The sequence below is a fragment of the Homo sapiens genome, chromosome 12 (assembly GCF_000001405.40).
Source record: "Homo sapiens chromosome 12, GRCh38.p14 Primary Assembly".
NCBI classification, from domain to species: Eukaryota; Metazoa; Chordata; class Mammalia; order Primates; family Hominidae; genus Homo; species Homo sapiens.
The window spans coordinates 39568453-39590188 of NC_000012.12; the positions used below are offsets into that span (position 1 = coordinate 39568453).

The following is a 21736-nucleotide window of genomic DNA, read 5'->3' on the forward strand; positions in this document are numbered from 1 at the left end:
CTCGTGCCATGGTTTTCAGCTCCCTCAGGTCCTTTAAGGACTTCTCTGCATTGGTTTTTCTAGCTAGCCATTCGTCTAATTTTTTTTCAAGGTTTTTAACTTGTTTTCCATGGGTTCGAACTCCCTCCTTTAGCTCGGAGTAGTTTGATCATCTGAAGCCTTCTTCTCTGAACTCGTCAAAGTCATTTTCCATCCAGCTTTGTTCCGTTGCTGGTGAGGAGCTGCGTTCCTTTGGAGGAGGAGAGGTGCTCTGATTTTTAGAGTTTCCAGTTTTTCTGCTCTGTTTTTTCCCCATCTTTCTGGTTTTATCTATCTTTGGTCTTTGATGATGGTGATTTACAGATGGGGTTTTGGTGTTCATGTCCTTTCTGTTTGTTAGTTTTCCTGCTAACAGTCAGGACCCTCAACTGCAGGTCTGTTGGAGTTTGCTAGAGGTCCACTCCAGACCCTGTTTGTCTGGGTATCAGCTGTGGAGGCTGCAGAACAGCAAATATTCCTGAACAGCCAATGTTGCTGCCTGTTCATTCCTCTGGAATTTTTTTCTCAGAGGAGTACCCAGCTGTGTGTGGTGTAAGTCTGCCCCTACTTGGGGGTGCATCCCAGTTAGGCTACTTGGGTGTCAGGGACCCACTTGAGGAGGCAGTCTGTCCGTTCTCAGATCTCCAGCTGTGTGCTGTGAGAACCACTGCTCTCTTCAAAGTTGTCAGACAGGGACATTTAAGTCTGCAGAGTATTCTGCTGCCTTTTGTTTGTCTATGCCCTACCCCCAGAGGTTGAGTCTACAGATCCAAGCAGGCCTCCTTGAGCTGTGGTGGGCTCCACCCAGTTGGAGCTTCCCTGCCGCTTTGTTTACCTACTGAAGCCTTGGCAATGGCGGGCACCCCTCCCCAGCCTTGCTGCCGTCTTGCAGTTTGATCTCAGACTGCTGTGCTAGCAATGAGCAAGGCTCCGTGGGCATAGTACCCTCCGAGCCAGGCACGGGATATAATATCCTGGTGTGCCGTTTGCTAGGACTGTTGGAAAAGCGCAGTATTAGGGTGGGAGTGACCCGATTTTCCAGGTGCCGTCTGTCAACCCTTACTTTGAGTAGGAAAGGGAATTCCCTGACCCCTTGTGCATCCTGGGTGAGGCGATGCCTCGCCCTGCTTCGCCTCACGCTCGGTGGTCTGCACCCACTGTCCTGCACCCGCTTTCTGACACTCCCCAGTGAGATGAACCCGGTACCTCAGTTGGAAATGCAAAAAACACCTGTCTTCTGCATCGCTGATGCTGGGAGTTGTAGACTGGAGCTGTTCCTATTCAGCCCTCTTGGCTCCACTCCCCCAGATAACATGTTCTTATCCTTCATTTTGTTAATGTTATGTACCACATTTATATATAGAAAGTACTAAAGACTCCATCAGAAAACATTAGATTTATAAATGAATTCAGGAAAGTTGCAAGATACAAAATCAGTATGTAAAAATCAGTAGCATTTCTCTACACTGACAGCAAATTATGTGAAAAAAATCAAGGAAACAATCCCATTTTCAATAGCTAGAAAAAGTTAAACACTTAGGCATAAATATAAGCAAGGAGGTGTAAGGTCTCTACAATGAAACTATAAAACATTAATGTAAGGAATCGAAGAAGACACACATACACAAATAAAATGATATCTCATGTTTATGAATTGGAAGAATTAATATTGTTAAAATGTCAATACTACCCGAAGTGATCTACATATTCAATTCAATCCCTATGGAAATGCCAATGATAGTCTTCAGAGAAATAGAAAAAAAATTCTAAAATTTGTGTGCAACTGCAAAACACCCAAAATAGTGAAAAAATTCTTGAGCATAAAGTACAAAGCTGGAGCCATCACACTACCTGGTGTCAAAATATACTACCAAACTGTAGCAACCCAAACAGCATTGTACTGACACAAAAACAGACACACAGACTTAAGGAATAGAATAGAGAACCCAGAAATAAATCCTTGTATTTATAGTCAACTGATTTTCAACAAAGTTGCCAAGAACACACTATTGGGAAAGGGCAGTATCCTCAATAAATTGTGGGAAACTGTATATCCACAGGTAGAAGAATGAAATTTGACCCTTATTGCTCACCATATGCAAAAACAAACTCAAAATGGATTAAAGACTTCAATGCAAGACCTGAAATTATTAGAATACATAGGGCAAAAATTTCATGACAATGAAATTTGGATATAAATTTGAAATGACAATGAAATTTGGGCAACGAGTTTTGGATATGACCTCAAGAGCATAGGCAACAAAAGTAAAAATAGACAAATGGGATTACATCAAACTCAAAAGCTTCTGTGCAACAAAGAAAACAATCAACAGAATGAAGAGATACCTATCAAATTGGAGAAAATATTTGGAAACTATATATCTGATAACAGCCAACATATATAAGAAATTCAAACAACTAAATAGCAAGAAAATGAATAACCTGATTACAAAATGGACAGAAGATCTGAATGAACATTTCTCAAAAGAAGATACACACAAATGACAAACAGGCATATCAAAAAATGCTCAACAACACTAATCATTAGGTAAATTCAAATCACCTCACTCTTGTCAGAATGGCTATTAAGAAAATGACAGAAAGTGTTGGTGAGGATGTGGAAAAAAGGGAACTCTTACACACCTTTGGTGGGAATATAAATTAGTATAGCCATCATGGAAAACAGTAAGGAGGTTCCTCAAAATGTTAAAAATAGAACTACAAAATGATCCAGCAATCCCCCACTGGGAATATATGCAAAGGAAATGATCTCAGTATGTCAAAGAGATAACTGCACTCCCATGTTTATTTCAGCACTATTTTTACAGCCAACATATGGAATCAACCCTAGTGTCCATCAATGGATGAAAAGATAAAGAATGTTATATATATACATGATGGAATACTACTCCACTGTAAAAAAGAATAAAATCCCGCCACTTACAAAAACATGGAAGAACCTGGAGGACATTATAGTAAGTGAAATAAGCTAGACACAGAAAGACAAATACCACATGATCTCACTCATACATGGTCATTCATATATTGGGCAAACACCACCTTCGATGTATAATGATGGTTTGGCTCATCACTCTGGTCTTACAACATTATTTGATTTCTACATGGGAGGAACCAACTGTGTAGGCGTTTCATACCCTGAGATTCAAACGCATGTTCTATATTACAAGCTGAGATAATATTTCAGGGTTTATCTATTTTAACTGAAACTCATTTGAGATAATCTTTAAACTTCCTTCACAAATAGGAAAAAGCTTAGGAAAGTGATGGTTATACAGCTATAATTCTATCCAGGAATCAGAAATTTTAATAAGCTTCTATAAATTTTTACTTCTTCAGACTCTAGTATTGATTTTAATCTTTACAATCAACAATTACTCATTTGTTGTTATGGGAAAAATATGACACATCTTTCCCCACTTCTGAAATCTATTCAGGGAAAATGAAATTTTTATTTTCCCTGAGAGAAAGAATAATCAGAAATGACAACCTGAAATGGCAAAGCTAAATAAAAAAATCAGAACTAACATGTTGTTTTGTTTTGTGGAGAAATGTACTTGGGTAGCTGCAATTAAAAATGTGTTTCTTGTCAAAAGGCATAGCCTTACAGATTTTGTTATTTACTTAAAAAGAATATTTGTTCCCTCAATTGAGGAAACAATGGCTATATATGCTTTCAATGCCTCCTAAGGCTACTTGAGTAAGGAATTGAATGGCAGGATAGCATAATAAATCCATTAACACAGGTCAGAAAAACTCCAAGCCTAATATGTCCCAACATGTGATTAATTTGGGAGAAAGTCTGGAAATCAAGGTTCATACCAAAAAGGGCTCAAGAGTACTGGCCTAGCTCTGTGTTGTCCTTGATTCAGAGGATTTACAGGCAAATGTCATTATTGTCTTAAAGATCTAGGTCCTGTTGGTCTTCTTCAGGATAAAAGTCAGAGGAAGCATATTCATTGGCATGGATCCTAACTCATGCTGGACTAGATCCAGAAAGTATATTTTTTAAAAATTCTGAAAAATCTGAAGGTTTAAACTGAGTGTGAAAATAGATTATCTTTTCAATATAAATGAAACTCAGAGTCAAAGAATTTTGAACAATAAAAGCCTGATTGGATGAATACTGTTTGCTAACAATTTTAATGTAAACATTCTTTATAAGGTCAAAGGTCTAGAAGGGCTTCAAGGATTAATTCCAATAATGCTTGCTACTAGGCTAGATTTGAAGCCATGTACATCATGACAACTTTGGCATGAAATCTGATCAGCCACCTGCCACAGAATGCTGCAGCCAGAAAGAGAGAGAGGAGGAATCCTGTGCAGTCCTTTAGAAAACAGGAGGCCAAAGCATATATAGAGACAGTTATAGTTACTAAGAAGTCAAAAGAAAAAATTTTCATTGATTAAATAGAAATGCAAAAGTAGAGAATGTAGTATTTATGGTTAATGCATGAGATACACTTTGAGTTCCTTATAATGAGAGCCGTGTGCTGTAGTACAGAGTATGTGATCATGGAAGTATCTCACTTTTCTAGTTCTCAGTTTCTTCATCTGTAAAATAGGAAGATTAGATTTCCTAAATTCCACAGGGTTGTTGTGAGGCTTAAATAAGATGTACCTGGAACAGAATAAGTGCTCAACTATTATGATGATGATGAATCAATGGAAAAGTAGGGGAATTGTAAAATTAGCATCTTTATTTGAAGGGGAAATTCTATATGGTTTTATGAGATATTAGTTCTAAAAAAATTTAGCTCATTTTTCTTTAAACCAACTAAAAATAAGCCCTCCCCCCTTCCCCACCACCACCTGTGTTTTCTCCACTTAATCCTTTGGGGGAGTATCAAGTTGTGTGTACATATATTTTTTTCCCCAGATTTTACTTTCCTGGGTTTTAGAGAAAGGACTAAAAGAATGATGTACAAATATATAAATATATTTTTCCCAGTACATGTTACTGGGTAATGATAAATATTTTCCATTAAAATAAATCACTGGATTTTTCCATGTCTTTTAAGAATTACTGGAAACTGATGATAATTCAAATAATACACTAATGATATTAGGTAGGGAGTATCTAAGCTACTAATGTGCAACTTAAGAGAAATATGGGTAGAAAATAAGTGAAATACCCTACCCTCTACTGTGAAAAATTTAGCAAAGTTATTTTTTGAGAAATTTAAGGAAAAACCATCTACCACAAATTAGCACTAGAAACACTTACCAAAGAGAAGGTCTGTGTGTTATAGACAGTAAGGAAATTCCAGCCCCTTTTGCAGCCTGAAATATCTTTCCTTCGACATCAATGCTGACAGCACTGGTACATTCATCCAGCAAGGCATATTTTGGTCTTTTAAAAAGTACACACAAAAATTAATTATTTTGCTATATGAACTATAAGTTTTTCTTTGGACAATATGAGTTGCATTGCTAACAATTTTAATGGAGCAAAAAAGACTATGGCATTATTAAAGGCAATAAATGATAAAGCAAAAAAGTAGTTGTCCCCTTCTTTGGACTATAATATCACATTTTTAATACATTTAAATAGATTTTCTGACGCTTTCTAATAATACAATAAGCTTTATTGTCTTGTAGATGAATGAATCATAAATATGGGACATAGGAAAGATGAGGCAGGTCACTGAGTACATTTTCCTGCAGAAAGCAGGTTCATTGTTGGTGAGAAGGGTCTGACTAACTACATGAAAAATACATTGCAGTAGCTAATTATCAAACAGGCCACAGCCCTGTTAGCAAAGATTTAATGAGAAGATTATTTTATCAGCAATATGAATACCTAAGCATTACTAATGGAATTTCATCACTATAAGACTGCGAGAGTGAATGTGGCTCATCTTACAAATTTATAACACACATTTAACCTCATAATATTGGAACCATACTCCAGAATCAAATTCTTAGGAGGAAAAGTAAATATTTTTCTAAGTATATTGGACAATTTTTTAAGCTTATTTTTTACTTTGATAATGCCTGTCTGTTATCAGAGGCATCTTATCACTTGCCATTGTTTCCCTCTGCTTATCCTTTCTCCCTCTCATCTCACCCCCTGCTCTTACTTTTCTTTGTCCTTTCCCTTTCTTCTTTCAAGTCCCTCTGGACTGTTGGTACTTAGCATGACTTAGCTTAGTTAATGGGAACAAAGTCAACTCTTACACTGTCATTTACTATTCAATTTGGAGTTGAAAATCAGTATCAGGTATTTGCCGGGACAATTTTCTTTACAAAAAAATTCTGATTTTTAAAAATAAAATGACAAAAAAGTTAAAAAAATGAAAATCAGTAATTTCTTATCAGAATAAATCATTATTTGCCTTGTAAGTTACTGTCCTAAAATCGATTTGCTTATTAATAGAATCCAGTTACCTACCACAGGTCAGGTAGTCAGGGCTAATAGATACAGGAGTCAAAGACTCTAAAACTGCTCCCTATGCAAAGAATAAAAGATCAGTGCATGTTCTCCATGACAACATCAACAGAAGTAGTGTCACTGCTTGACCTTTGGTTACTGTTCTGGTTTAAGTATTAAGCATTACTTCTTTGTCTCAGAGTTATTTTCTGTTTTGTGGATGAATGATATTTTTAAGTGAACAAGAGGAAGAAGTAAAGGAAGTATAAAAGTGAAAGGTTGAGTAAAATTTTCCTTTTGTGTAAACCTCTTTCCAGTGATTAACATGTTTATTGCATTTTGGCTTATTTTTCAGAGTGCCTTGATCGAAACAGAGAAAATATACCATTTTAGAATTAGAAAAATGTATGCATCTTACACTCCGTTGTCATAGCAACCTCTACTCTAGCAGATGTAAGATCACATGTTTTAGTTTCCTTGGCAGGGCTGGTGTGTGTCTGTGTGTGTTTGTGTGTGTACTTGAATATATCAAGCAATAGCTAGAATTCGATACTGATATAAGAAAAAAAGCATTAGGTAATATTGTTTCTCAGATTTGCTTTCCTTTTTGCTTTGTGTATCATCAGTAGAATGGGCTTCGTGAAGGATTTAATCTATCCCCTTAAGACAGGAGTTTTTCAATCATTCTTGAGCTATTAAAACATTTAAAATCCTCTCAAAAAGAGAATACTATTGTGATGCTTAGTACTTCCTGCTAAAGTTCTTGATTTTTGCCAGCTCAAGTCTTTCACATCACAATTCAAACTTTAAATCATTTGAGAATGAGGGAAGGCAGTTTCCTATTGTTAAACTTTCTCTTCACTAGATTGAATACCTAAAATTCCTTTTATCTTTTGTCAAAAGATTGTGCTTTTCAACTACTTGCTCTTCTTCATTGATCTTTATGTGGCTCACTAAATTTTCTTTCCACTGATATACTTGTGACTTATCTTCACTCATTATCACATTATATCCAAAATATTTTAGTTACACAAACACCAAGTATTTATTTCAGGTTACAGATATGTGAAATCTCTTTGGGTTAACATTTATTAATGCCACTTGCTATTTATTACAAGGTTTATTTTATTAACACACTGATACAGTGACAAATTTATGGCTAAATTTTACATTCCACCATATTACATTTCTATGCTGGTGATCATATTACTGGGTACTTATGGCCTAGACCCAAACAGATTCAGGGTGATAGTGGGTAACAGCTGGTCATAAATGCCAAGCTGTAAAGTTTTTGTTGTTGTTGTTGTTGTTGTTTTTGAGACGGAGTCTCATACTATTGCCAGGTTGGAGTGCAGTGGCACCATCTCGGCTCACTGCAATCTCCGCCTCCTGGGTTCAAGTGATTCCGCTGCCTCAGCCTCCCGAGTAGCTGGGACTATAGGCGCCCGCCACCATGCCTGGCTAATTTTTTTTAATTTTTGTAGAGACGGGGTTTCACTATGTTGGCCAGGATGGTCTGGATCTCCTGTCCTCATGATCCACCCGCCTCGCCCTCCCGAAGTGCTGGGATTATAGGCGTGATCCACCGCGCCCGGGATCAAGCTGTAAAGTTTACTCTTGAATTTCACTACATCTTCTGAGAAAGGGGTATCCCAAAATACACATCACTAAAAATCCCAAATTAGCAAAATTTAGTTTATATTTTTAGCTAGCCATATTCTTAAATGTACATTATTATAAATAACATGTTATGAACACAACTAATAATTTTTCTCACTAAAAATCCCAGCTAAACACAAAAATAATATTTAGTGTGTGATTTAATTTACCTGAAGTTATACAACAAGCAAAACCAATTTATGGTGACAGAAATCAGGACAGAAATGTCTAGAGGGGACTGGATTGGAAGGGAGGATGAGTAAACTTCCCAGGGTAACAGAAATGTTTTTTTATCTTGATTGGGGTATTGGTTACATAATGTAGAAACATTTATAAAAGTCATCCAATTGTATACCTAAAATATGTGTATTTAGTATATAAACTTTAGTACAATAACAATAAGCCCTGGTTAACTATTATATAGTAATACAGAAAAGCACATAATTACATATGAAATAAAAAGGATATAAATTATAATATGCTTTATGAAAATAGCTACATCAAAATAATAAAAATAACAACGAATTTTTGCATATTACCAAGACTGGGAAAAAAAAATCCCAAAATTTTAACAGTGTTTAAATGTTACAGTAATTTAAAATTTGAATAATTTAAAATGTCCAAAATTTTAACAGTGTTAATAAGATAACAGCTAATGAGATAATCGCTAATGAGATAACAGATTTTTTCTTCTTTTTACTTATATACATTTTCTACTTTTATAAAATGAACATATTATATTTTAATAAAATTCTTTAAATCATTTTTTATGCTATGTTCTTATTCAAAAGGCTGAACCTAAATCTCATCAAGCTCTTTGCTCTAATTTCCAGTTTACAGAAAAAAATGGGAGATTGGGGAACAAGATAAAGGACCCCTACCTAGATTTACCTGATAAGGTAGCAATGAGGTAAATCTAGAATAGGCAACATTCTACGGGACAATTAACCCAATTCCTTCAGCAAGTCAAAGGTATAAAAGGTAGGTGGGGCCTGGGAGGAGGAGAGACTCTTTAGATTAAAAAGGAATTAAGAGATGTAACAATAAAATGCAATGTGTGAAACTTGTTTAGATCCAGGTTTGAACAAATCAGTGTAAAAAGATATTTTTGAGACAATTAGGGAAACTTTGAATATGAACCATATATTAAATAACTTTAAATAATTATTACTAATTTAATTATTATTGTGACAAGTTATTATGTAAGAATATATCCTAATATTTCAGAGACTGTTCTCAAAGTATTTAGGGAAAAATATCATAATACCTGTGATTTGCTTTAAAATACTTTAGAAATTTTAAAAAATGAGTAGATAAATCAAGTGTAACGAAACATTAGACTTGTTAAATCAGTGTAATGAGAATATGGGGTTCTTACAATTTCTCTTTTTTGATGAAGTTTGACTTTTTTTCCGTAATTAAAGGCTTTTAAAAAAATGAATAGCCAACTGAGTGCTTAGTGTGAGCCAACTGAGTGCTTAGTGTGGGCCAACTAATTCCTAGGTGTTCGATAATACATACTTGACATAATTTTTAAAGTTCTCTATAAAATGTTACTACTTTCACAACAACTCACACAAGAGTGCTGCATCTGCCATTTATGGCCCATTCATGAATTCATGTACATAACTATTTGGTCCTTTTTGCCCAAGACTTAATTATTAAAAGTGAGGGCCGGGTGAGGTGGCTTACGCCTGTAATCCCAGCACTTTGGGAGGCCGAGGCGGGCGGATCACGAGGTCAGGAGATCGAGACCATCCTGGCTAACACGGTGAAACCCCGTCTCTACTAAAAATACAAAAAATTAGCCGGGCTTGGTGGCGGGCACCTGTAGTCCCAGCTACTCAGGAGGCTGAGGCAGGAGAATGACGTGAACCCGGGAGGCGGAGCTTGCAGTGAGCCGAGATGGTGCCACTGCACTCCAGCCTGGGCGACAGAGCAAGACTCCGTCTCAAAAAAAAAAAAAAAAAAAAGTGAGTAACATAGTTTCTGACAACCTTCTGTGCTGCAAAACTCAGGTTCTTATTGCCAGAGATCCAAGGGAGTTGGGAGGGGGAATGGAATGAATCAGGAGAATCAGAAGGGCTTTAATATTTCCTTCCCATGTCTTCTGCTTGATATCCTTAAACTCAAAAGGCTATGAAGCTGGTTACAATTAAAAATGTTTTATCAGAAGCAATTATTTCCTGCCTCTTAATTTTTCTCAATCCATTGAAACCTACGCAGAATGGTCCCTTTTTCCATTGGCTATGGCTTTGAATTTCAAGGGGGAGAGCATTACTGGTTTAATAGGCTGCTGAATGGTTAAAAAGTTGACTTACCTTGAATTTAATAATTTAATTCAGAAAGTTTTACTGAATGTCTACCTATTGGATTTACACAAGTATCATAGTGATTGTATAGTCTTCATATTTTAAAATTAATAATCATTATTTCAAACTTAGGATACATAAAAATTTAATTTAGTCCTTTGTACACATTATTTCATCTAACATTACTCAACATGAAAGAAATAGAAAAACAAATACTTGGAGATTCTACTATAAGAAAAAATAATTTGGCCAGTCACGGTGGCTCACGCCTGTAATCCCAGCACTTTGGGAGGCCAAGGCGGGCGGATCACCTGAAGTTAGGAGTTCAAGACCAGCCTGGCCAACATGGTGAAACCCCGTCTCTACTAAAAACACAAAAATTAGCCGGGCGTGGTGGCACACGCCTGTAATTCCAGCTACTTGGGAGGCTGAGACAGGAGAATTGCTTGGGCCTGGGAGACGGAGGTTGCAGTGAGCCAAGATCGTGCCACTGCACTCCAGCCTGGCTGACAGAGCGAGACTCTGTCTCAAAAACAAACAAACAAAAAAACCAACTGTGAACTCTATGCACTAATTTTGTAGTAAGATATTTTTAAGCTACAGATGAAGACGATAAATCCTGTCCAAACTTTTGTTGTTCCTATTGTTGCTTGGTTTGGTTACAACAATGGCCTAGTAGTTACCTGAATTTAGTATACTTACTTATGATAAAACATACGAGCCATGCCCATTCTTTGCTTTTCCCCTCCTGACAGGACATCTTTCCAGTCCATAACAGCATCCCATCCTTAAGAAAATAAAAAAATATACATTTTTATAAATCATTTGTTTAATTGTTACTATTTCTACCCTAGACAAGTGATTCCTGACAAATTCAAATTGTCAACATGAAGAACTTGGTATTTTATAGGATATATGCTTGGATAAACTACAGAGCCTCATGTATAAGCATTTTGTTTTAGATTTGATATTCTTCTGATGGTAATAACTTCTTATACTGACAAATGATCTTACAAGAATTCTAAACCCTGACACTTTAAAAACTGTGTTTGTTTCTCAGTGTCTCCGGTGGGTTGATAGGCTTATACTTATCTTGGAGGGAGATGGGAGAAAAGACCCAACAAATTTTCATATGTCAATTACAAAGTCTACAAAGGGTAAGAAAGGAACTAATTTAGGTGGCTCTCCTGTGCCTAGCACTTTATGTGAGTTCTCTTATCATATATTTCACAGTTTTGTAAGACAGATTTTATTTCTTGCATTTTATAAGTGAGCAACTGTAGTTCATGGAGTAATCGACATGTCTAGGTTTACACATGTCTGGTTTCAACCTCCTAGGTTCGAGCTATTTACCCTCCTCAGCCTTCCAAAGTGCTGGGACTACAGGTGTGAGCTGCCAGATGGGGCCAGCTACTAATTCTTGTGACATCTTGAGATGTCAGAACTGGGATTTATATTCAGGTCTATCTGATGCTTTTATAGTTTTTCCATGCATGCTATCTCTTAAAACATCTTAACTGTTGACTTTCTGTTTGATATTTATTCAAAAAACAAGCATTCTATTTTTCTTACAAATAGAGTAGGTCTTGTATATTAATATGAAAATGTGCCCAGAATATCTGTACATTAAAAATCAAGTTTCAGAATTGTATATATCATCATTGTCTTTCTGTAAATAAACACTACACATATACTTCCAAGAACAGAATTAGATTCATTTCCTAAGTTATTCATTTTTATAAAATTCTAAAATTTTATAATAAGCCTACCTTAATTTTTTAATTAGATTTTTTAAAGATTACTTAAAAATAAAACCATAGTTCCACTGCTGGAGAGTCTGATTTTCAAACAAGAAAATGATGCCAAAACCTAACAGATACTTACAGCAAAATTTCTAAATCCTAAGTGTTCAGGGATTAACTCTCATCTTTGGAAAAAATCCATGTTCTCTGTCATCTTTTTACTTGCTCAGCTGAATTTTTACCATTAAAATTTTGAAATTTTTACCACTAAATTTTGAAATAATCTTGGTCAACAGGAAAGAAAATAGCCCTCATTGCTTTATGTGTACTGTGTATCTGAAAAGTCAAATTATCAAAAATGATTATTTGATTCTTTTGCTGGTGAGAAGAAAAATTTGGACTTGTTTTTGAAATCCAAAAGTTTAGAGGCTTTGATGAAATAACATATATTAACTGTTAAACATAAAATGCATCTTTATGTTTCTTACCATCTTCTTCCTTTAAAATTACCACTACAAAGTACATTGCATTAAAAAATGTATAAAAGCATAAAAAAGAAACAAAACAATGGTTGCCTGATGGGGATAGGTGCAACTGGATGGAAGGCAACAGGAATTGGAAGAATTTTTTAGAGCACATTTAAAAATGCCCTTTCATTTATGAATTATGTGAAAGTGTTACTCCAAAAATTAAATAAGCAAAGACATACAATAAAGGTAATACAATATATGAAAAATTATCAATAAAAAATATCTGGAGTGAAAAGGAGACTTTCCCGATTTCCCAGTGACACCTGAAATCTCACTCTCCAGAGGAAATCACTGTTCATTTTCTTGGGTAAACTTCCAGAAATTGTCATTTTTTAAGTAAGAAAATACACATAGGAAATAGACAAATCCTTAAAATTTTATGTTAGGAAAAATAATCTTAAAATACCATCTGATTTAGAGTTCTTGCTTCTAGGGAAAACTGTTGAAATAAAACTTTCCCTGTGATTGAATTTCATAGTATTTATGAAATGTAAGTGATGATTTGAGAAATAGACTTGGATTACTATGCAGTGGAGAAATATTCTGGGCTTAACTTTTTTTTCCCCTGCCCCCTGAAAACATGGCACAAGAGAAAAGTATTTGGGTCAAAGGACACTTTAACTTTTACATATTTTAATAAATCACGTTCTTTGTTCTACTAAACCCAAAGGTTTTTGTAGGCAGGCAATATTGCATGATCACGGAACACATAAATCAAAACTCTGAGTCATAATGTTGCCTCTGACCCTGATTTAGTGAGACAAAGTCAGCAAAGAAGAGAATGATTTTCCTGCTTCCTAGAGATGTATACTCTTCTTTAGTTCGTGTCCATTTGTTAACCCTTTTATGCTTTCCTGTTTTGTAACCTAGTTGATGGAATGGAATGTAGTTTTTAATTCCATTTTTATTATACCAACCAAAGGATTAGCTAGTCTAAACAGAACTTCAGTAGGCTTCTTTCAAATTAAATAATGCACTTGCAAATTTAAGTGTTTTCCTGCCTTGCTTAAATATTTCAGGTTTAAGAATTAAGCAAGTAAAACAGGTTTCCCTGAAGTTTTTTTTTATGTGCAAGGATATAATAGTTTTTATTATTGTTTAAAAAGCCAGGAGTTACCATAGTATAGTGGCATACCCTCGCATAGAACACTGACTTTCAAGTCAGAACTGTGCTTGAATCCCTGTCCCACAACTTGCCATGGGACTCTGAGTAAGTTACTAAATTTCTGAAATTAATCTTTAAGATGAAGATAGTAAAACCTACATCATTGGACTATTATGGATATTAAATAATGATATATGTAAATTCCACATAGTAAGCACTCAATAGCCCATAACAATTACGATTACATTTTTAAGTTTGGAAAATTCTTGGAAAGAGTTCTAGACCTTCCTGATGACTTCCAAAAGAATAGAATATTTCATGTTTATTCTAAATTTCTATTTGGATCATTAGATTTCAAACGTCCTCAAAATAACTTGCCCAAGATAAACATGTAGCATTTATTCTACCACAGCCTTCTGAAACTCCAAGGAGTTGACCACATGAAACAAAAAATCAATCTGCTTTCCATATATAGTAGGAATTACAAATACCAAAAAATAAAAGTATTTTTCTTGCCTGCCTTATTTGTTTATTGTAAGGATCAAATGAAATAATGTATGTGATATTGTTATATAAAACTTCAAGCATTATCACACAAAGACAAAGTACAGTATCAATATTACAACTACTAATATTACCATTAGCTACTAATTTTTTTTTTTTTTTTTAGACAGGGTCTCACTCTTGTTGCCTAGGCTGGAGTGCAGTGATGCAATCACAGCTCACTCCAACCTTGACTTTGCGGGCTCAGGTGATTCTCCCACCTCAGCCTCCCAAATAGCTGAGACTACAGGGGTGTGCCACCATTCCCGGATAATTTTTGTATGTTTTGTAGGGAAGTGGTTTCACCATGTTGCCCAGGCTGGTTTCAACCTCCTAGATTCAAGCTATTTACCCTCCTCGGCCTCCCAAAGTGCTGGGATTACAGGTGTGAGCTGCCGGACGGGGCCAGCTACTAATTCTTGTGTACTCATATGCCACTGTGCTAATGTTTTACATACAGTCTTATTTAATCTTCACAAAAAACTTATAAGGTAGATATTTATCCTCATTTTACAGTTGAAGATACAGAGAACAGGGCTAATCAAGATTTAATTCCAGAACTCTGAGTTAAAAGTCCATATTCTCAATCACTGTACTACTTACTCTACTTCTAATAATGTAAGTGGGCTGTAAAATAGAACATAAAATACATTTAAAATTAAACTTGGTGTCTCATTTGTTATTTCAGTCATTTTTCTAAACTATCAAATTATATGAATTATTGAATTATTTGAAAGTGTGAATATAATTTTTTGTTTTATTTTATTTTATTTTTTAACTTTCAGGCTTGGGGGCACATGTGAAGTTTTCTTACATAGGTAAACACGTTTCATGGGGATTTGTTGTACATATTATTTCATCATCCAGGTATTAAGCCCAGTACCCAATAATTTTCTTTTCTGCTCCTCTCCCTCCTCCTACCCTCCAATCCTCAAGTAGACCTGAGTCTCTGTTGTTTTCTTCTTTGTGCTTGTAAGTTCTTATCATTTAGCCCTATTTAAAAGTGAGAACATACAGTAAGTATATGGTTTTCTGTTCCTGCATTAGTTTGCTAAGGATGATTGCCTCCAGCTCCATTCATGTTCCCACAAAATATATGATCTCATTCTTTTTTTCTAGCTGCATAATATTCCATGGTGGACCTCTACCACACTTTCTTTATCTAATCTGTCATTGATGGGCATTTACATTGATTCCATGTTTTTGCTATTGTGTATAGTGCTGTGATGAACATTTGTGTGCATATGTCTTTGTGGTAGATGATTTTATATTCCTCTGAGTATAAACCCAGTAATGAGATTGTTGGGTGAAATGGTAGTTCTGTTTTTAGCTCTTTGAGGAATTGCCACACTGTGGTTGAACTGATTTACACTCCCACCAACAGTGTATAAGTGTTCTCTTTTTCCCACAACCTTCTCAACATCTTGTTATTTTTTGACTTTTTATTAATAGTCATTTTGACTGGTGTGAGATGGTACCTCATTGTGGTTTTGATGTGCATTTCTCTAGTGATCAGTGATATTGAGCTTTTTTCATATGCTTGTTGGCTGCATGTATGTCTTCTTTTGAGAAGTGTCTGTTCATGTCCTTTTCCCACTTTGTAATGGTGTTGTTTGTTTTTCCCTTGTAAATTTGTTTAAGTACCTTATAGATGCTAGATATTAGACTTTTGTCAGATGCATAATTTGCAAATACTTTCTCCCATTGTGTAGGTTGTCTGTTTACTCTGTTGATAGTTTCTTTTGCTGTGCAGAAGCTCTTAAATTTAATTAGATCTCACTTGTCAATTTTTGCTTTCATTGTGATTGCTTTTGGTATCTTTGTCATGAAGTCTTTGTCTGTTTCCATGTCCAGGATAGTTTTGCCTAGGTTGTCTTCCAGGGTTTTTATAGTTTGGGGTTTTACATTTAAGTCTCTAATCCATCTTGTGTTGATTTTTGTATATGGTATAAAGAAGGGGTCCAGCTTCAGTCTTCTGCATATGGCCAGCCAGTTATCACAGCACCATTTATTGAATAGGGAGTCTTTTCCCCATTGCTTGTTTTTGTCAGCTTTGTTGAAGATTAGATGGTTGTAGATGTGCGGCCTTATTTCTGTGCTCTCCATTCTGTTTCATTGGTCTCTGTGCCTGTTTTTGTAACAGCACTATGCTGTTTTGGTTACTGTAGACTTGTAGTATAGTTTGAAGTGGGGCAGCATGATGCCTCCAGCTTTGTTCCTTTTGCTTAGGATTACCTTGGCTATTCAGGCTCTTTCTTGGTTCCAAACAAATTTTAAAATAGTTTTTTTCCTAGTTCTGTGAAGAATGTCATTGGTAGTTTGATAGGAATAGCATTGAATATGTAAATTGCTTTGGGCAACATAGCCATTTTAATGATATTGATTCTTCCTATCCATGAACATGGGATGGTTTTCCATTTGTGTCTTCTCTGATTTCTTTGAGCAGTGTTTTGTAATTCCCATTGTAGAGATCTTTCACCTTCCTGGTTAGCTGTATTCCTAGGTATTTCATTCTTTTTGTGGCAATTGTGAAGGGGATTGCCTTCCTGATTTGGCTGTTCGCTTGGCTGTTGTTGGTGTATAGCAAAGTTAGTGATTTTTGTATGTTGATTTTGTACACTGCAACTTTGCTGAAGTTGTTTATCAGCTGAAGGAGCTTTGAGCTGAGACTATGGGGTTTTCTAGATATAGAATCATGTGTCTGCAAGCAGGGATAGTTTGACTTCCTCTCTTCCTATGTGAATGCCCTTTATTTCTTTCTCTTGCCTGGCTTATCTAGTTAAAGTGTGATTATTATTATTAAATTATTTGAAAGTATCACTAAACACAGAAAGAGTATTATTAGACAATAATTCTATTTTAAGCTTATATGTACAAATGTTATTTATACTCTTTCAAAAATGTTTTATGCTGAAAAACCACAATACAGAAGTTTCTAACTTTAATTACCTGTGTGCTGCTTGAGAGCAAAAAAAGATACTGGTCAGATTGTGGGTCTGAAAACAAAAAAAGTTCTGTGGTATCTACTTCTCAAATTATTTAATTTAATGTGAGCTGAGAGCTTGTAAGGCAAATATGTCTGTCATAGACTTTACATACATCTAGACTGACAATGGCCTCAGGGACTTTGTACATTCGAATATAAAAGAAAAAAACTGTTTTTAAATGTTAGCTGCACTGACATGGAGACTTAATAAAAACTTAGTGTGTTGCATTAAACACAACACAAGCAGAAAAAGAAATGTAAATAATGGAACAGCAATAAAACTCCATCTTTACACTTATGTGCTTATTTCCGATTATAGCATACATTCAAATTAAACCACAGACTAAATATATACCCAAGCTTACTTTTTAAAAGTGAAGTTAAATGCATTAGAAAAGAATGATAGACTTTACCTCCTTCTCTTTGAACTATGTGATAGAGATGGACATTGTGTAGGATACGTTCCAGATCTTGGTCTGTATAACCTTTATCATGCATATCATCCACTGAATCAGGGTAAATGACTTGATCCCGAAGACTTCCAAGAGACATATATGGCCTTTAAAACACCAAGCACACAAGAATCCTAGTGGAAAGTCATGATAACTTACTCAGTGTGACAACTTGGTAGTCTGAAAACATCAGTGAAGACTTTAAACACTACATTTCCAGGATGATATTTGTTACCTGGCGATGAGTACTTCTCCCTCAGGCACTGCTAAACAATACCGTTATGTTTACATAAAAACTTACTGACACATGGACACAAGAAAAGCTTCTCCAAGAAATCATCTGACATTTTCTTTTTCTAAAAAATTCTATTTTATTTTATATTTTGTAGAGACAGGGTCTTGATATGTTTTCCCAGGCTAGTCTCAAACACCTGCCTCAAGTGATTCCTCCTAACTTGGCCTCCCAAAGCACTGGGATTACAGTTGTGAGCCATAGAACCCAGCCACATTTAACATTTTCAGCAGGGAAATATTGTATATACTTTGTTTCACTGTATTTGATAAAGATTGCTTCTGTAATTCATCTATAATTATTTGGGTGACATATTATACAATTTGGGTTTCGACCCAGCAATGTGAACAAACAAAACAAAAAAATTTAATTCATAGTAAGAAAAACACAAATTAAAACTACATTGAGTTTCTTACTAATCAGATTGGCAAAAATTCAACAACTTGGTAACTCACTCCACTGGCAGGCCTATGGGTAAGGGAATGTTCTCACACTACAGTGAAAATGCAGAATGGTACAACTCTTACAGAGGGGATTTGGCAAACTGACAGAGCATTTGTTGCCCTTTGACCTCCTTCTGGGAATTCACTCTGAAAATATACTTCTAAAAATACAAAAAAAGATGCATGAGGTTATTCATTACAGCTTATTTGTAATAGCAAAATACTGAAATACAACATAAATACCCATACAAAGAAGACAGACAGAATAAACTATAGTACATCCGCTAAGCAGCTGTAATAAAAGGATGAGGAAGACCTCTATAAACTGATATAGAGTGATTTCCATGATATATTGTTAAGTTGAAAAGCAAAATGCAAAAGTAGACTTACAGCAGGGTTTCTCAACAACGGCACTTTGGCTTATTGAACCAGATAATTCTTTATTGTCGAGGGCTACCCTGTGTACAGTAGGATGTTTAGCATTATGCCTGATGTCTACCCACTAGATGTCAGCAGCACCCCTTCCTGTAGTGAACAAAAATAATTGTCTCCAGATAATGCCAAATGTCCCTGGGGGACAAAATCTTCCCGGTTGAGAACCACTTCTATGTAAAAAGAAAGCAAAATGAAATATAGACATACCCATTTATATTTAAAAAAGGAAACACAGGAAGAGTAAACCTGAAACTAGTGAAGTTGGTTAGCTACAGGAGGTGGGAGGAACAAGGTGGAATGGATAGGCAGGAAAAGGCCTACGTATCCTTTCTATTAATAAAGTTTTTACTTTTGGAATCCCTCAAAGTGTTACTATTCAATAAATAAATAAAATTAAACCAACAAGAACGAAGGAAGAAACCTTAAAATTGAATACAAATAGAAACAATTTAACTGAACAGTATGTCCAAAGGATAAAGTAACCACACAGCGAAGGGGATGGAGGTGGGGATGAATTAATCCATGTAATTTTTGAACTTGGCTATATAATTTCAGTCAAAGACAGAAAGAATCAGGCGGAAATTTTAAACTTTACTTGCAAGTTTATTTTTGCTAATGATATAGGGGTAGCAATTCTGAAACTATTTTATGTATATTGTAGGATTGGTTACGTAAGTAAATGGTTTGGTAATGTTAGGAGCAAGGGTTCTCACTGTGGAAGAAGAAAGATACAAACATGCTGTGTGGGAAGGCAAGAGAAAAACTAATTTTAATTTGAGTATCAGTATGAATTTATGTTTTTTAATAAAAAAATTTCTAGCCCTATCTACATCTGGAACAGTCTAATATTATCCTTTGAGAAGCACACAGCATCATTTCAGTAATGCAATAAATTCAATTGTGGACCCAAAAAGATCCATCTTAATCCAGACCCCCCCATATCTGTAAATGAAACCTTATTTAGGAACAGAGTCTTTGCAGATTTAATTAAGGTTCTTGAGACGAGATCATCCTGGATTAACCAGATGAGTCCTAAATCCAATAAATGCTCTTATCAAATGAGAAGAAACACAGGAAAGAAAAGAAAGCCACGTGAAGAAGGAGACAGAGATGGGAGTTACTGCCGCCACAAACGAAGGAATGCTTGGCACCACCAGAAGCTGGAAAAGAGGCAGGAAATAATTCTCCCCAAGAGCCTTCAGAGGGCGTGGATTGCCAATACTTTGACTTCGGGTGTTCAGGAATGCGAGAAAATAAATTTCTGTTGTTCAAACCGCCAAGTGTTTGGTAATTTGTAGCCCTTAGAAACTAATACAAGTAGTATTTCTGTAAAAAGTTTATAACCTGAATCACATCACGGAGAAACTATCAGACAAACCCAAATTGAGGTGTTCTCTTAAAAAAAAAAAGCAATAGTCTGGCATTCTTTAAAAATATCAATGTCATATAAAATAAAGAAATGCTGAGAAACTCTTTCGAATAAAAGAAACTATAATAAATAGACATGGCAACTAAGTGCAGTGCATGACAATGGATTGGGAAAAACAAGTTGCTCTATAAAGTACAGTGTTATGACAATTGCTGAAATTTAAATATGGACTGTATTTTAGATACTAATATATAAATGTCAGATTTCCTGAATTTGATAAGTATACTGTAGTTACCTAAGAGAATATCCCTGTTCTTTGAAAATATACCCTAAATTAATTAGGGGTAAAGGTGTATGATTACTGCAACTTGATTAAAAAATACAAGGTGTATATTGTGTGTGTATGCCTGGAGAGAGAAAGAAAGAGAAGGAGAGGTTTTCAAATACAAAATGTGTTTTGTGGATGAATTATCTACCTATTTTCCCATGGTACACAAGCCATTAGGTTGAAGGATAGACAGCACAAGCTTATTTTATAATATATTTAATTATTATTTGAATTCAAAATGTTTATATTTTACTTGTACATGTGTATGTTCATATAAGAAGACTTTGCAATGAAATTATTACAAATATAAGGAAGCTTTGGTCTGGGTTTTTTTTTTTTTTTTTTTTGAGACGGAGTCTCGCTTTGTCGCCCAGGCTGGAGTGCAGTGGCGCCATCTCGGTGGCTCACTGCAAGCTCCGCCTCCCGGGTTCTCGCTGTTCTCTTGTCAGCCTCCCAAGTAGCTGGGACTACAGGCGTCTGTCACCACGCCTGGCTAATTTTTTGTATTTTTAGTAGAGACGGGGTTTTACCGTGTTAGCCAGGATGGTCTTGATCTCCTGACCTCGTGTTCCGCCCACCTCGGCCTCCCAAAGTGCTGGGATTACAGGTGTGAGCCACCGCACCCAGCCCTATCTGAGCTATTGTTATTTAAATGATGTAACGATGTATAAAAATTGCTCACTTTGAAAACTGATGTGAATGAGAATGTTGATGAATATGTATAAAAGTATTCATAAGCTTATATATTTATTGAGGACTAATCAAATATTGTTTTATTAAAGTTCAATTTTTTGTCAATTATTGTTTTATGATCATGTGAAATGGTAAAAATAATACATTCTATATATGTTTGATGTACATAGCAACTAAAGCCGCTTAGGTTTTTATTAAAATAATGATTTTAAAATATTATTATAATGTTAAAGCCACCACTGAATTCTCTGGAAAGACTGTGTCAAGAAAATTCGGGATGACATTTACTCAATTTGAAAGCACAAGGAAACGGAGGACCCTATAGCCAATGTTTATATAATTAGTTTGCATGTGATTCTCTTTCCAGCTCAAAGTTCTGGAATTTAACATTTTGAGTCAGTTCAAGTTTCTGTAGTCCTACCAAAGTTATACATAATA

At 35.4% G+C, this 21736-nt stretch overlaps 1 protein-coding gene across 9 annotated transcripts in view, besides 1 other annotated feature; it reads right to left on the minus strand.

The window, feature by feature from the left end:
• ABCD2 (ATP binding cassette subfamily D member 2) overlaps window positions 1-21736 on the minus strand; it is an 88779-nt gene that overhangs the window by 37428 nt on the left and 29615 nt on the right. For 5 of the 9 annotated variants that reach the window (NR_182045.1, XM_017018992.3, NM_001412791.1 and 2 more), the window contains 3 exons: window positions 17700-17845; window positions 11083-11167; window positions 5264-5389 (listed from right to left, as the gene is read on the minus strand). Coding sequence is in view for 7 of the 9 variants with exons in the window: in XM_017018992.3 (XP_016874481.1) it covers window positions 5264-5389; window positions 11083-11167; window positions 17700-17845 (357 nt within the window). In the remaining 2 variants the exon portion in view is untranslated. Of the gene's footprint in view, window positions 1-1395; window positions 4658-5263; window positions 5390-11082; window positions 11168-17699; window positions 17873-21736 lie in introns of those variants that run through there. The other 4 variants (NM_001412790.1, NM_001412788.1, NR_182046.1 and 1 more) reach the window with 4 other exon arrangements.
• Window positions 5868-6668: an enhancer, noted in NCBI's record as "OCT4-NANOG hESC enhancer chr12:39968122-39968922 (GRCh37/hg19 assembly coordinates)". NCBI's record gives its function as "activates a minimal SCP1, AML or CMV promoter by ChIP-STARR-seq in naive and primed H9 embryonic stem cells {active_cell/tissue: H9 hESC(naive and primed)}" and the evidence as "EXISTENCE:reporter gene assay evidence [ECO:0000049][PMID:30033119]".